Here is a 17100-nt window from a genome sequence, read left to right on the forward strand (position 1 = left end):
CCACATTTCTAACACTCTTATATGCCAGCAATGTACGAATTTTCTCCTTGTATTTGTCTAGCCGGTGATCAGGTGAATTCAAAGTATGATGTAAATGACTAATGCACTGAGTAAGCACACAAAGGATTCGTACTCCAAACCTCAGCATCACACAATATACCCATGTAACAAACCTGCACACATTTCCCCTGGATCCTAAACATAAGTTGAAATTATAAAAAATAAATAAAAGTGAGCCTAGTAAAACAGACACATCGCTAATGCATATTTAAGGCAAGTAGAAGAAACACTGTATATACTTTTATGAAAAGGGGAGTTTTCTTGTGTGAGAGAGCATTTGACAACATGAAGGGAGGTACCTATTTTCTTTCATATGAAACCTGATTTGTGTTGCTGGGTGAAACAATACCCTGATGATTGTGAAGGAAATCATGAATGGTCCTAATAGATGAAAGTTTTGATTGGTGATTAATGAAAGGAGCAATATTTTTATTTTTAAAAATCAGTCATTTTGAAAACAGATCAATAGATACACACTCTTGAGCATCTGAACTGGACCATGATTTCTTACCCCCCCCCCCCCATGTCCCATCTCCCATGCTTATTCTGTCATTACAGAGTACAGAGTGCAAACACTTTGACCAATGGCTAGAAATAACAGAACAATTTTATCACCTCGGTACAAATATTTTTAAAATAACGTTAAGGCAGACCTTTAAATAGAGATTCTTTTTCTTACAGGTTTATAGGAATTGTATGTGTGTTAAAAATATTAAACTGTTTCTCATCTGTATCTTTCCTAATCTGTTGTTTGAGTTTTGCTGTCATGTATAGTATATTTTCATATAAAAATAGTTTTTTATATTCTATTATGTTTTTCTTCCTCCTTGTAGTTCCAGGGATCCCCTTCTACATCAACAATGGCTTTAATTGATCTCGATATTACTTTTATAATGACTGTTTCATTAACATTTTCGATTATTCCAATTTTTAAGTATTTCTAAGAGGCTTTTCTTTGCTGTTTTGTAGTGTTTACCTCTTTTGGTAGCCCTTACCGGACCAAATGTATGCTGAGAATGAATGAATTATTAAACAAATCAATGTATACACGAATGACAGCATGGTAGACATCAACATAGATGTTTGATGTGTAAACTAAAATTAGGACACTGGAATTTATTTGTGACCATTTTAAACATACTTAGTTCAAAGCTTGATAGTTGCCTTTATTAAGAACACTATACTTTCTTTGTTTCAAAAGAAAATCTAAAAGCAAGGATTAACCTCAGTCACAATGATTTTTTTTAAATTTTTAAACAAAATGGGTTCAGTGATGTGTGACTAAGTCTGAACGATATTTTCAGGATTAAAAATATTCATTAATAATTGGAAATGGGCTTTCTTGCATAAAAATGAATTAATGCCCCTTCCTGAGATGCAGAGCCTGCCTTCAGTAACATGCCTCAGTGCATTTGTTTATAGGCCAATGCTGTTCAAAGCTATGCCTTCCAAGTCCCCACATTCTCAAATCACATTGAAAACTGGAAACTATCTTTAGTTTAGAGATGAAATTAAAAAAATAAATTAACCTCAGACATGGATCCACTAGTAAACTTAAACGTGGACAGACAGATTATAATTCCATGATCACACACCAAAAAAGCCCTGAATTTGTAGCCATATAGGCTTTTTAAGGTGTTTGGAATTCCATCACTGAAACCCAATACTTCTGGGTTCGAGAATTGAAATCCTTTAAAATTCCCTTGGGAAGTGTTACATATTAAACCATAATCGTTTAATAAAAATAATGATGGCAGCTAACATTTATTGAGGGCTTAAGATGTGCCAGAAACTCTTCTAAGCATTCATGTTATCTCCTTTAATCCTTACAATAACCCAATGAGGTAGGTATTACTCTCATCCTATTTCACAGATAAGGTAATAGGGATTTCATCCTTGCTGCTAAGTGACTTCCCAATGTCACAGATGATGTGGGATGGAGAGAGAACTCCACCCTGACATCTTACTTACTTATATACCTATGTTGGTATAACAAATAGGTCACACAAAATATAGTGGGCAAATATAGTGGCACTCTTACTCTGTTCTTGCCAACTAATATGGGTCAATTGTAGGTGCGAGGGCTGAAGAGAGGGCATGCCAGTAGAGCCCGGCTAAAAGACTCTGGGCATTTCCAGGGCCAGAAATGGGACAAGGTGAGTGGGGGAGGATACCAAACGTTTCACAGTCTGCAGAATTTTATTTCCACACAGCCTTACTGGTTCCAACAGAATTTTTGGATTGTGTAACTTATCTCCTGCAGTCTGCTGCACACATGATTCCCCCACTCCTTAAACACAGGATTTCTTCTGGAGCATTCCACACTTTCCTTATCTCTGTGTTTCCTCTGTTATTTGGGTTGTGGAGCCCCACATCAGATTCTTTATTGCCTAGAGAGTGGGTTAGGGCTACTCTGTAGGCAACTCACAGCACAGGCAAAGAGATGGCATTTATTGTCTATTAAAATATAAGCAATATTAGACCTCAGTATCCACTATAAGGCTGGAATGCAGCTAAGTGGATATAGCTCTTTCAGCCTCAGAAGATATAGAAAAATAGCTAAAAAAGACATCTGGAGGATAAAAATCTGATGAAGGTAATTTTCATAGCATTTTCTCCTTTTGTCTCTCTTCCTTGTCCTCTTTATGGATAAAGGGGATCATGAGGTTTCTTTTCATCTATATGGTCATGTTGGAAGGATGGAGGATACGAATCTACCAGGCTGAGGCTGGCTTCTCTTCCCCATCTCTGTTGGACCTGTGCTGATATGCAAGACCCACAGATTTGTCCCAGATCCCAGCTGGTATTCTTTAACAGTATACAGTTCATGGTCAGGCAAGCCAGGACTTGACACCAAGATTCACATGTTAAATGTCAATTTTTTTCATATATGTGTGGTGGGGGCTGGTGTGGGGCAGAAATGCTTAGATTTTCCATGGGCTTGACCAATATATAGTAGGAAATGTGGACAGGACTAGGTGGACATCCCGAGAAATTTCCTGATGGAGCAAAAGGAATAGTTCATAACAGATTGCCAGAGGGAGAGAAAAAGGAGGAGGTGGTGTTGTATAGAAGGAAGCCAGTGACCTCAGTGGAGTATAGAAGCTGAGCATAAGGAAACTTTGGGTATTCAAACTCTCTCATCAAGGGACCAATCCAACACAGAAATATGATTGAGACTGCGTCATGTAACCTAGGCTCCTGTCTCATCCTCTATTACTTAGTAGAGTTTATGGAAGAGGTGCCCCAATTTTTTACTGTTTTCACAAAGAAACAGAAGCCTGAGATGGCTCATTAAAATAGTTCAGAGCTTTAGGGGCCCTAAACACCTCCCATAAAATGACAATTGGACGGTTTAAGGGTAAACGAATCTGCAAAGGTATAGATTATATCACCCTTAATGAAGATGTGAGTTTACAGAAGTTCACTGGGCAGTGATGTTTTGGGTCCTCCCCAAGCCCTGGACACTGAAAGATTAATCACAATATTTAGAAATAAAAACCTATCTGGGTGTCTGTGGCAGCCACGCAAAGTACTTCTTTTGTTTAGTGGGTTTTGGATGGGAAGACTGGAGTCTGTTTATTATATTTTGCTATTTGCCACATCTATCCAATGACCCAAATGCTCCATTTCATGCAGTTTATCTTGGACCAAATGCAGTTAACTATCTGAGAATGACTTCTTCTGATTTTTCCACAGTTTCCAATTGAAGCTGTAATAGCTCCTTATTCCATCTCCCTGAGCAGGTACTGTGAGAAATCACCGTGCTTCACTGTGGGAGAGGCAACAGAGGGACGGGCCGAAGCAGTGATTTTGGAAGCTTCTATCAGTGAAAAGAGATGATAAAAATAAGCAGTTATGGGAAGTAGCATAAAGTGCATTTAAAAGAAACAGTGGTCATTGCAATTCAATAGCCAAACCCACAGAAAAAAAGGAGAATAACAAAAAGCTTATCCTTGGTGTTCAGAGAGTTTGTTTATGGGTTTATGGTTTTGTAGATGGCAGCTCCCTTAGAGCATTCCAACTCACAGCAAAGCCAGAATTCAGGAATATGTGTGTGCTGGGGGTTACAGTAAAGGGACTGGCTTTCATTTTAGGAAAATGAAATTACCTGTCCTAATATAAAGGAAGGTTTTTATGATTCCTATTTTGAGTGGATCTAATACCACATCAGGACATACATGAAATGCAACTAACTAAATACATAAAAACAGAGGGTCAGCAAGTTTTTTTTTTAAGAGGACTTTATGGTCTTAAAAACAATTGCAAGACCACAGGACTCAAGAAGAATAAACTTAGGACCAAGCTGCAGTATGAGCAAAGTAATATATAATACCAACAATTTGAGATGGTTCCCTATAGAAAATTCAAGAAAAGTGGCACTGTTGGTTACTGCCTCTTCCACGAGGGATTATTCATTATTAGTGTCCACCCACACAGGGATAGACAGGATGGGGTGGGGAACTGGACCTCCCGGCATAATACTTGATCTAAGCAATTACTTGATACCCAGCGTCAGCCGTGGAAGCTATTTTTCCCAAGGCTTCCAAAACTCCCCTTTTTGTCATTTGTGTCACAAAGGCAGTGAGGTCCTACAGTAAAAGATCTATTTGCCTCTCCTCTTCTTTCCTCTCATGTGTCAGCCACGTGGCCCTCAGTGGTCAGCTTGAACTCTTACAGATTAGGATTTCACCCCTAGAAGGACTCTATTGTTCATTTACAGATGCGACTGTCTTCCCACTCCGACTCTTGGTGACTTTAGAATGCAGAAGGTGTAGGTAGCTTCATGGATTCTTTTCTCTTGTGCATACTGGCAGGGTTGTGTATGGTTATTGCAAGAGTAGATGAGTCCTAAGACATGATTTCAGCTGTATACATAGTTTATTTTTCTTTTTACCTCAAACTATTTTATTACCATGGACCCTCCCAGTAGTTCTGATGCTCCTAAAATGTTTGCGGAGAGAAAAAGGTGTTTGTGGATAAATTTTTAAAATAATAGGTCTCTTTGGTAATTCTATGCATTTTGGCTCAGGTGCTTTAAAGCATTATTTTTGAGAAAAGGTCACAGACTGCCAGAGAAGTGGACCTTCAGATTCCAGCGAGACCTTTCTGGTCTGGGACCTCCTGTACAAGCTCTTCTAGGGAAGCTGCTGCATGCATGAGGCCATGCATTCAGATATACGGGACCCTTGTTTTGAATCTCAGTGAAGTTGGCGAATTATTTTTATCCTCAGTGCAGAAAGTATTACAGTGCATAAGCCTGTTGGCCTCGTTCTTCAGAACATCCAGGAATCAGTTGTAATTCTGTTAAGCAGCAACTTCCTAGAGGTAAAATGGGGTTTGTCATTGCTTAACATCTCTGACTGCAAGAGACGAGGCTCTCTAATGCTTTCTGGTGGTAGATCCTTCCATGATTGTGAGCCCTAGTCTCCTTGTGGAACCAACTGCGTATGTGGAGGGAAGCTGGATGTGTGTCAAGTTCATCTGTTTTACAGGAGAACAGCAGATCCAAGTTAGGGTCTGAGCCTGGGGTGAAGGTTTTCAAATAAGCATCAAAAACTCTGCCAAGGTTTTGCCAACTGTCCCTCAGCCTACATTGTTCATTCTGCCACATGAAGTATGGCTACTGCCTATCCAGGTCCCCACAAACCGGGTGACAGAGACAAAGGCCTCGGGAAACAGGGCCGGGATGTATCCAAATCCCTTTCTACTCTCTCCGGACACCAGGGCTCAGATATTCTTTATCACCTCCTCAGGCCATTTTCTTCTCCAGTTCTTTGGCTGGCTGAGTTGTTGTGAGGTCTGCACAGCTCGACTGTGTTTTGGCCTCTAGGGCTCTCTGTATTGTTGTGCATTCCCCTCAGCCCCAAGCCATACATTGGAACTCAACAAGCAGATAACAACCAGAGAGGAAAAGTTCCACTTGGTGGTTCTTACCATGATACAAACTCCCAAACGCCATTACCTCTGAGGTGCAGGGGCTCACTCTAACCTTTAATTGGGTTGAGGGTTCAAAATCCCTCATATAATTTCCTGTTCACAAATATTTTTACAAATCTCAGAGGCAATAGAAATATGTGTTAGATTTTTAGTTGATCCTCAAGTCTCTGTTTTTACTTGTATTATTACATAACCCAAATGTGTTTGGAAAGGCTGGGTCGCTAAATAGGAATGGTCCCTGCAGAGATGACATACCATAATACTGCATTTCTGAATCCAGGTAACTGGAGGTGGGTGAGTTATCTGGGTCATACTTAGAGCTTTTTCAAACTGTACTTGTTGTCCTGATTCTGTCCTTTTCCCATGTTTGTGGTGGATTTGTGAGACATTGAGAAGGTCAGGTGATAAGCTGAGGGTAGGGAAAAGAGAGAGAGAGATGAGGATGATACTCAGATATCTGACTGGGGAGCTGTATGGAAGACAACATCACTAACTAAGATGTAGAAAACTGGTGGAGAAGCCAGCTCCAAGGTATGCTCATAAAGGGTTTGGCTTGTCCACCTGAAGAATGTCCAGGTATATCTGCCTGCTGGGCAGTCTGTTTACTTCTTCATGTTTGAGCTGGTATACTCTGTGGGAACAAGTTTCCAATCAACTGGAAACCACTGAAATTTCCATTTCCAGATTCAGTATGTGCACTTCTGGTTCCATTTCTGCACCTAACTGCTACTATACAACTCCAAGCAATACTGGCTCTCTGGGACAATGACCTTTTTGAAACACACTTCAAATGATGATTCAACCTGCAAATGATAAAGTGATGAGAATGATGAACAGGTCAAGGCCATGGGCAGAGCTTAGTGTCAGGCCACGGGAGATCTCTCTTCAGGTTAATGCTGGTGTGTTGATCCCATCCTTCAGCCAGCTACAACTAGAACATATTTATACAAAATAATCTAAGAAGTGTAGCCAAATGCTGAGTTGAAATATAGGCACTGTGTGTTTAGGGCATCCCCCTTTTGACAAACACATCAAGTATCTGTATAAGCAGCCCTATCATAGAACCATATTGAGGGCTGGAAGAAGAATCTCATTGTGAAGGCAATGGAGAGGTGTGGATGGGTCTGATGCTGAAATTGAGTGTGATGTTCATTTACCTGCTGCATTGAAAGCAGGAGAAGCAAGGAGTTCCACGAAATGCCATTGGAGAAGCCAAACACAAGCATGTTGGGACAGAGAACTGACTGGTAGGGAACAGGGAAGTTCATGCCAGGCCCACCAGAAGGTCACTGGAAAGTGGAAGTCTGAGCTCCCCAGACTCCTAATCAGTGTCAGTCAAACCATGCCGGGACTGAAACTTTACTACATGACAAACACTGTGTGTACTGCTGTAGGGAGAAGCTTGTTTTCAGCGCAGACTCAGCCCAGAGGAGGAGAGGGTGGGGCAGTTTTACCTAACTCATGTGTGAGTGCCCACTAAAATATTATTAGAGCCTCTCTAGCAGGGAAGGAGTTAACAGAAAGATCCACCAAAGGAGGAGACACTTTCAACAAGGGAGTGGTGCCCAGTTAAGCTTCACTTAAGAGGGGGTATCTGGTCTGGAGAAATAGCAGAGGAAACATTGTGTTTTCTTAAACTTATTAACTAATTAAATCCTAATAAACTTCTAAGTCCTTTCCCCACTGACAAATATTTCAAAAATGATTACGGAAATAGAGTTTACAAAAAGTAAATGAATGGCAGCCAGAGCCCCATGGTTCTGGTCTCACATCTCCTGGATGGGACCTTGAGTAAGTTACCAAACTTCTTTGTATTCTGGCTTCCTGAGTTGCCAATAGATACATTCGTTCCCCACTATGCCTATGTAAAACGGATGCTAGCAGGATCCAGGAAGCCATTTCATTGGCAGTATCACACAAAGTGGAAAGTACATATGGTTACAAAATACTAGATCAGACCACTTAGCTGCCTGGAATTTCTGAATTCCCAATGAATGTACAGCCCAGTTTTAGATTCGTAGGCTCTGAATGTGACTATTTTCTCACCAATTATCCAGCAAAAAATTCTCCCAATAGACCTCTAAAAGCATTTTAGTAAGTCCCCTCTCGCTGTCGTCTACTGTCTGCACAAGGCCATCCATGTAGTAGATATTCAAAATACATTCGCTGATGTTACCATAGCCTCATGGTATCTTGAATTGATAGAAGTCCCTGGATTTTGTGGCAATTTTAAACTACTCTGCCACTCATCAGAGAATTGAAAAGTAGTATGTTTGTATGTCCGGAATTGGTGGGTTCTTGATCTGATGGACCCTCGCGGTGAGTGTTACAGTTCTTAAAGGCGGTGTGTCCAGAGTTTGTTCCTTCTGATGTTCGGATGTGTTAGGAATTTCTTCCTTCTGGTGGGTTTGTGGTCTCGCTGGCTCAGGAGTGAAGCTGCAGACCTTCATGGTGAGTGTTACAGCTCATAAAGGCAGTGTGGACCCAAAGAGTGAGCAGTAGCAAGATTTATTGCAAAGAGCGAAAGAACAAAGTTTCCACAGAGTGACAGGGGACCAAGCGGGTTGCTACTGCTAGCTCTGGCACCCTGCTTTTATTCTCTTATCTGGCCCCACCCGCTTCCTGCTGATTGGTCCATTTTACAGAGAGCTGATTGGTCTGTTTTACAGAGAGCTGATTGGTCCATTTTGAGAGGGTGCTGATTGGTGCATTTACAATCCCTGAGCTAGACACAAAAGTTCTCCACCTCCCCACTAGATTAGCTAGATACAGAGTGTCCATTGGTGTATTTACAAACCCTGAGCTAGATACAGAGTGCTGATTGGTGCATTTACAAACCTTGAGCTAGATACAGAGTGCCAACTGGTGCATTCACAATCCCTTAGCCAGACATAAAGATTCTCCAGGTCCCCAGCAGATTAACTAGATACAGAGTGCCAATTGGTGTATTCACAAACCCTGAGCTAGACACAGGGTGCTGATTAGTGTGCTTACAAAACTTGCGCTAGATACAGAGTGCTGATTGGTGTATTTACAATCCCTTAGCTAGACATAAAAATTCTCCAAGTCCCCACCAGACTCAGGAGCCCAGCTGGCTTCAACCAGTGAATCCCGCCCCGCGGCCGTAGCTGGAGCTGCCTGCCAGTCCCACGCAGTGCGCCCACACTCCTCAGCCCTTGGGCGGTGGATGGGACAGGGCGCCGTGGAGCAGGAGGCAGCGCTATTCCGGGAGGCTCCCGTCACACAGGAGCCCATGCGGGTGGGGTGGGGGAGGCTCAGGCATGCAGGGCTGCAGGTCTGGAGCCCTGCCCCACGGGAAGGCAGCTAAGGCCCGGTGAGAAACCGAGTACAGCAGCTGCTGGCCCAGGTGCTAAGCTCCTCACTGCCCAGGGCTTGCGGGCTGGCGGGCTGATCCCAGTGCCGGCCGGCGGAGCCCACGCCCACCCGGAACTTGCGCTGGCCCACAGCGCATGTGCAGCGCCGGTTCCCGCCCACGCTTATCCCTCCACACTTACCCGCAAGCTGAGGGAGCAGCCTGCGGCCTTGGCCAGGCCAGAAAGGGGCTCCCATAGTGCAGCGGCAGGCTGAAGGCCTCCTCAAGTGCGGCCAGAGTGGGCGCCAAGGCTGAGGAGGCCCCAAGAGCGAGCGAGGGCTGCAAGGGCTGCCAGCATGCTGTCACCTCTCATTTGGGTATGTGCGTGCGTGCATGCATGGGTGTGGTGTGTGTGTGTGTGTGAGAGAGAGAGAGAGCGAGAGATTAATCATTCAATATAGTAGAAGACCCTTTGTTCTTTTCTTTTCTTCTGATTCAGTGTCTGCCATTGTTGGAAATCCTTTGTCAAAAATGGGATGAGAAGGAATGTAAAAGGGACAGCTACAGAATTATTTACACTAAGGAAAAAAATAACTGAAACTTACATTGTACTGACAAAATCTCAGAATTGACCCAATATGTAAAACAAATAGGTGAAACAAAACAAACTTTAAAAAAAAGCAAATAAACAAACAAATCAGACTCTAGCATTTCTCGCATTAGAAGCTGTTATTTGACGCAGCACTGGGCTTTATGAGGCTCCATGAGGCTGCTAAGGACATAGAGTGAGGTGGGTCTGAACGGAGGTGTATTGTGTGAATGTGAAAAGCACACTGTATTTTGAAGGCTTTGAGAGGAAAACACAATGTCATATATTTTATTGGTATTTTTATATAAATTACATGTTGGAATTAAAATAGTATACATAGAGAGAGTTCAGTAATTTTACTAGTTTATTTTTACTTTTTAAATGTGGTTTCTAGAAAATTTTAAATTACATGTGTCTCACATCATATTTTCATTGAATAGAGCTGGTCTAAAATATCCCAAATGTGACCTTCAATGCTTCAACAGTACAAATGCCCTTAATAAGCAAGTCTTCTTAAGAGTAAGGTACAGAATTCAGGGATGTTATACCAAATCACCAGCTGCTTTAAAACCAGTGTAAGCTGGGTGCGGTGGCTCACGCCTGTAATCCCAGCACTTTGGGATGCCGAGGAGGGCAGATCATGAGGTCAAGAGATAGAAACCATCCTGGCCAACATGGTGAAGCTCTGTCTTTACTAAAAATACAAAATTAGCTGGGTGTGCTGGCTCGGGCCTGTAGTCCCAGCTACTCAGGAGGCTGAGACAGGAGAATCCCTTGAACCCGGGAGGCTGAGGTTGCAGTGAGCTAAGATCACCCACTGCACTTTGGCCTAGTGACAGACCGAGACTCCATCTCAAAAAAAACAAAACAAAACAAAATATTGTAGATGGTTTTGGGGATTTGAAAATAAGGGTAGTTTAGCAGTAAACAAAAACCCTATGTAAAAAGTAAAGTAGAGAGTCCTCTTCAAAGACTTTCCTCCCCGTCTAATTAGGAATAAATAGTAACTTCTTTTAGAAGCAAAATGTATTCAAAGACCTGTGCTAACATTCTTAAATATCTGCTAGCCATAATAAAGAAAGCAATGTACTTTATGTTCTTAGCTCCCACAATTTAGCCTAAATATTTGCCCTGGCATGCTTATACTAGTCCAAGCAAGCATTAACTCATAGCCTGTTCCTCTTCCTTATTTGAAAGTGTTCTTACCTTTCTCAGCATTCCACAAGTTACTTCCTCCTTCCTTTGTTCTCCTCTGCCTTTGCCTCTTTTAAAAGTTCTAAGTTGCTAGCCAATCAGGACAAATACAGAACATGAAGTCCCGTTCCAGCCAACAGAAACCGGACACAGCAGTAGAAATTAAATTTATGTTCAAGTGCTATTTCTTTACAATACCAAAGAACAAGCATTTCTATCATCTATAAAACCATCAAAAAGGTTATTTTTTTTTTAAACTTACTTTATTGTGAGACACGGTATGATGTAGAACATTTTTATATATTGAGCAAAATTTTAAATTTTATAAAAATTAGTGTGCCTGCCTTGTAGAATTGAACTACATTTTTACACTAAAACTTAAAATTACATTCTAAATTGCATCATCTTTTTAAATAAAATAGAACTGGTAAGATGAACAGCTATTTTAATTACATTCTTCTCCAGTGAAATCCAGGACTATATATATATAATGTATAGCTCTAGCATTTTTATTGGTCTGACTTGTGAAAAATGTTTTTGCCTTTCGCAGTAATATCTTTACCAAAACAATAATGATCAATCCCTGGTGAATATAACAATGGCTCCAGGCCATCACTGGGGAATGGCAAGAACCTCATTTTTATCATTATGTTTAAGCACAATATAAGATATTTTGTTGGTTTGTTGGCTTTTCATAAAAATAACTCTAGTAAGTCCAGTGAAAAATTGAGGCAGATTTATCAAATGTATATTTCAGACTGAAGGTCAGGGTCCTATGGCTCCTGTTTTCTGTGCAGCCATAAGCAAACTTTCCTGTCTCCTAATTCAACAAATATTTATTACAAGCCTCTCTGCCTGCCTTGTACTAGACAGGAAAGATACCAAAAGGACACAAAATGAACTTTAATTTTCAGTAACAATGAAATTCCTTTTCTAGACAACTTTAAGAAACATTAAAGGACACATTTAATTTTACTGCTTTACATGTGAAAGAACAGAGACCCACAGTGTAAAATGACTTGTTCAGAGTCACTGAAGTTGATGTGAGAAAACCACCAGAAACTAGGTGTTTTGATTCCCAGCCTAACTCATTTGTATTACAACATACCGCTTTATTTTAGACAGCCACTTCTACAAAAACCAAATTCCTTTTTCATATTCCTTCTTTTTCTGAGGCATATCACTTATTTTTTTCCAAGTAATGCCTCTTTGTAGTGGAGTCAATAATTATATTTGGAGGACTTCTCTAAACAGAACAAACTCAAGCAGAGAGCAGCCCTGGGCCCTCTCCATAGATCACAGCTTATGGCAGCTCCCCCGGGGAGCACAGAAGCGCTTGGACCAGCTTTAAGTTTAAGTGCATGTCACCATGATACACGGTGTCTTTGGTGTCCGTATATCATGAAGTGGAAGGGGTGTCGCCCATGGATGGAGAGCATCCATTCTTCCCTCCTGACACTGCTTTTTCCCCAAACAAGACATATCTGTGCGATTACAATCTTATCCAGGCCGGCTGACTCCCTCCAGAGCTCATCTGCAGAGAGGGGCAAAATCAGTCAGCATTTTGTGGAGTGAAGGTTTGGGGGAGCATGCTTTGTGAAACAATGAAAAAGAAGTAGAGGTGAGAATATATGAGGTCCTCCAGTAGGTATTGTTTTCAGCCTCTTCTTAGCATCTTGAAGAGCCTAATTCCTATGCAATAAGAGCAAGTTCTCAAAGGTCATCGTTTTCTGGGTTCAAATATCTGATCAAATATTTCCTAGCTACATGATTCAGGCACGTGACTGAACATTTCATTTTGTTTTTAGTTTTCTTACTGCAAAAGTGGGTATTATATGAAAAATATTACCTACTTCATGGAATTATTGTGAACAATAAGTGAATAAATACAAATGAAACCCTCAGCATACAGCCTGGGACTTACATTGTCTTCACTGTATGGTAATCGTCATTATCGTCTTTTTTTTTCTGCCTAAGATATTCAAGGTAGTCATAAAATTGAAGAGTCATTCTTTTAATAACTAAAGAGCTTCTCAAGCAAGAGATATCTCAGGTTTCACATTTTCACACTAGCTAGAGAAGAGAAAGTAAAGCTCAGAAAGAGACAATTCAGGAAGAAGTTAATCCATTTAGTCCTTTTTCTCCATCCATCCATTCATCCGCCCTCTGTCCATCAGTCTATCCATCTATCCATTCATCCATCCATCTACCCACTGTCTTAGTGCCTTGGAGTTTGGTGGTTTAATTAAATGTGCTTGAGGACTTCCTGTTCCCTTAACCTAATGATACATCTACTTTTTCCTGATGGTCAACGCTTGAGGGAGAATGTGAGGCTAGATAATCTACAGAGGCAGAGTTTGTTGATGGGTAGCCTGGGTGGGCATCTGGGTGACCTAAACTTGTGTTTCATCTGACTTATATTAGTTACACACACACACACACATATATATAACTTATATAATATATATTACATGTATTATATAAAGATATATATTCATATACTGTTATATACTAGAGCATGTATGGGCCTTGATTTCACCCTGAACATAGCCATGAATGAGGTTATCAATGGAAGGGGGTTGGTAGTTAAGGCAGTAGGACATCTCTCCTCCAGCCCTGCCATAGTTCAGAAAGAGGACCTTGAGCACTACCCTAAGTTCAAGTTGCTGCACAGATCCCAAGGAGTTTGACCCTGTCTTCTCTTTACTATTTCCTTCTCATATAAAGCCTTTGAGAATATGGTTGTTGCCTAGAAACAATCATGTAAGACGACTTAGAGGAAGGGAGTGTTTCCAAACTGAGCAAAGCCCTTGAGCCCCTGCTCTGGTTAAACACAATGAGGGACTTCTAAAAAATGAGCTATCCTCCTGTCTCAGCAATGGAATAGATACCTCTTAGCTGAGGCTGATTATCCCTTCCTTACATGGAGTTCTTAACCACCTTATTTAGGATTTTTGTATCATGTGGAGTTGAGCAATACTTTTCATGTATGTTGGTCTTTTCTGCCGAGCAAGACTTAAATTCCAAATTTGGAATTCCATTATTGCCAGCTCTCTATTTAATCCAAAGATTAGCACAGGCTGAGCATACAATAGAGAATCTCAATAGTAGGTGAATAGATTGTCATAATTAGAAGTTCTGGGCTGGGAACAGTGGCTCACGCCTGTAATCCCAGCACTTTGGGAGGCTGAGGTGGGTGGATCACGAGGTCAGGAGTTCGAGACCATCCTGGCCAACATGGTGAAAACCCGTCTCTACTAAAAATACAAAAATTAGCTGGGCATGGTGGCGGGTGCCTGTAAGCCCAGCTACTTGGGAGGCTGAGGCAGGAGAATCGCTTGAACTTGGAAGGCGGAAGTTGCAATGAGCAGAGATCGTGCCATTGCACTCCAGCCTGGGCAACAGAAGCGAAACTCCATCCCCCCAACCAAAACAAAAAGTTCTGAAAAATAGATTTATTTTAGGTTCAATTTTATATAGTTATCATTCCCGTTACTACAATAATCACCAGAACGGCCACTGCTCCTACCAGGTGGAAATGGTATTTCCTGGGCTAATCTGGCATCTTTCTTTGCTATGTTACTTCCTGGTGAATTCACCCATCTGTGAACAATCTGAATAACAAACATAGCACATAAACCTAAGCTACCACATATAGTAAAACATCAACTGTTTCCCTCAGATAGACTGAAGGGAGTAAACCAACAATTACCGATGCTGTAAAGTCACCCAAACAATCCTTCAACTACTTTATTTCTTTTGTAAAAGGGGAAAAATAAAAAGATGGCTCTTCTCAACATGCTGATGCTGAAAAGAGCACTGACGTTTGTTTCTGAATGATGTTTGACTGTGAGTGCTCAGTAATTAGAAATATTTAATGCAGGCAAACATCAGCAAGTTAAAATTGTTTTCTGTTTGAATCTTGTCATTTGCCAGAAAGGAAATGATATGTTAGACATGTTGCACTCTTTCTCAGTATGATAGCAACTAAAGTGGCTTAAAATTGGATTCATTTATAAAGCTGGACACTATTAATATCATTCCCTGCATGATGGTAATTCATTTTACTCTGCTTTGTCTCAGAAGCAGTAGGGGCTCTATTCCTTATATTCAGTTTGCAGTCCTAATTAAGTATTCATTATAGAATACATATTTTTTCATTTAAGACTGGATTTCAAATATTTATGTGCTGTATTACACTTGTTTACTATTAGGTCAATGTAGTGAGGTACTCACAACTAGTAGTTATAAGTCTTCAATCTATAAAATTAAGGATCTGAAGGAACTCAGCTACAGCAAAGACCTGTTTCCCTCAGGGTTCTTAGCTCACCAGCATTGCACGGAATAAGCTGAAAACTAAATGTAACTACACTGGTTCCCTGCCATTGTGAATAAAAAAAAAGATGCTCCACGGATTCAGTGTAATGTTGACATGACACATGTAGAAGCTTCACAAAAGGTTCTATAGGACCATGATCCTGAAAACTTTTACTATTGGCAGATAAAGGACTGGATACTAAATAAGAAAAAGAGGACAGAAAGTTTTAATTGAATAAAATTAAATGAAACAATAAGGATCTAGAACATCTGGAGAAACTGTCAGATGATTAAATCTGTTAAATTGTGGATGTGTGTTATAAGAAAACTGTTCTGGCAAGCATCACATTTGCAACTCCAATAGGTGAATCATTCGGATTTTACTTGATAAGCAATGGAATACATATATAAGAGTACAAATTTTGCATTACATTATGCTTTTTACTTGAGAGCTCAAAGGACCCTAGAGAAAGTGCTTTATTCAAAATTACATTGTGATCAACACTAGGCAGGAAATGACCACTTTCAAAAGTTGGATTTAAAAAAAAGGATCACATAAACAAAAACCACAACAGCCAAAAAATGATGAAATTGGAATCACTCAAAGGCTCTGTCATTCTCCTAAATATTCACATGTAAATGATCAAAATGAAGACTAGAGTGGGAACTGGAGTTCATAACACTTCTTAATTAATAGATAGTTTTTGAGTATTGATTATGTACAAAGTCCTTTGTAGTTGTAAATGAACAAAGAGGAAAGAGAGGTGGGGAAAAAAAGAAGCTATTCTTAATTGTAAGTTACTCACCAGCATTTTGGAGTAACAAACTATGAACATAAACTTAATTAGTTAACAATAGAAGATATCTGTACATGATGTCACAAGGCAAGGTATGTTCTGTTGTAAAAACAATGGCTCATATGATTTCACAGGAGCAAGAAATTGTAGTTATATAGCAGTAAACTGAGAGTACTGCTTAGAGAAAGGAGCTCTTTATCTGGGCCTTGAAGGATTGTTTAAAGTGGGAGCAAATACATATAGGCAGGGGAAGTAGGTATGAAGCAAGGAAGGGAAGTCAGGTAATGCAGGGCTTGTTAGAGCACCAAATCCAGATTTACGTAGCAATTGCAAAGGGAGTAAAAGGGAAAATGGATTTGTTGGATTGTAGAAAGTGTGACTAGCATGCTAAGAATTTATGCATAAGAGTTTATCCTCTAGGAAATAAAAAGAAACTGAGAGCTTGGCAACTAGAATTGAAGTGTTGTATTTAAAAGACAGCCTGCTGCAGAAGTCATTAATTAATTAAGAAAGAGACTGGAGGAGTTTTGGTAGGTAAAGCCATCAAAAGTTCCAAATTAGTGCTCAAAGGAAAAGAACGAGGCAATGTTTATTTATTTACTTCTTTATTAATTACTGATTGGTTGACGTAATACTTCCTATTAAAATATGTCCTAGTGCCAATAAATGATGCCAAAATGTAGATGTTTCCATTGAATCTCATACTTTTCCTATTTATAAACTACTAAGCTTACTGATTGAAAAAAATCTATATATATGTATATATATATATATATATATATATGTTTCCACTGTGTATATATATATTTCACAGTATAAAAGAATTCCCTATTTGCCCACTGTCTAATATTTAGAAGACATGTACATCAAAAGAAAAACTATAACATCAG

General features: G+C 40.2%; 1 long non-coding RNA gene across 2 annotated transcripts in view, besides 1 other annotated feature; it reads right to left on the reverse strand.

Moving 5' to 3' along the window:
• Window positions 1-17100, reverse strand: part of LOC105372076 (uncharacterized) — a 38317-nt gene that overhangs the window by 14276 nt on the left and 6941 nt on the right. The window contains exon 4 of one of the 2 annotated variants that reach the window (XR_935396.3): window positions 13055-13169. The exons of the other annotated variant lie outside the window; for it this stretch is intronic. This is a non-coding gene — a long non-coding RNA (uncharacterized LOC105372076). Of the gene's footprint in view, window positions 1-13054; window positions 13170-17100 lie in introns of those variants that run through there. 2 annotated transcript variants of the gene reach the window in all.
• Window positions 9383-9944: an enhancer, noted in NCBI's record as "H3K27ac-H3K4me1 hESC enhancer chr18:36298608-36299169 (GRCh37/hg19 assembly coordinates)". NCBI's record gives its function as "activates a minimal SCP1, AML or CMV promoter by ChIP-STARR-seq in primed H9 embryonic stem cells {active_cell/tissue: H9 hESC(primed)}" and the evidence as "EXISTENCE:reporter gene assay evidence [ECO:0000049][PMID:30033119]".

Source organism: Homo sapiens, chromosome 18 (assembly GCF_000001405.40).
Source record: "Homo sapiens chromosome 18, GRCh38.p14 Primary Assembly".
NCBI lineage: Eukaryota > Metazoa > Chordata > Mammalia > Primates > Hominidae > Homo > Homo sapiens.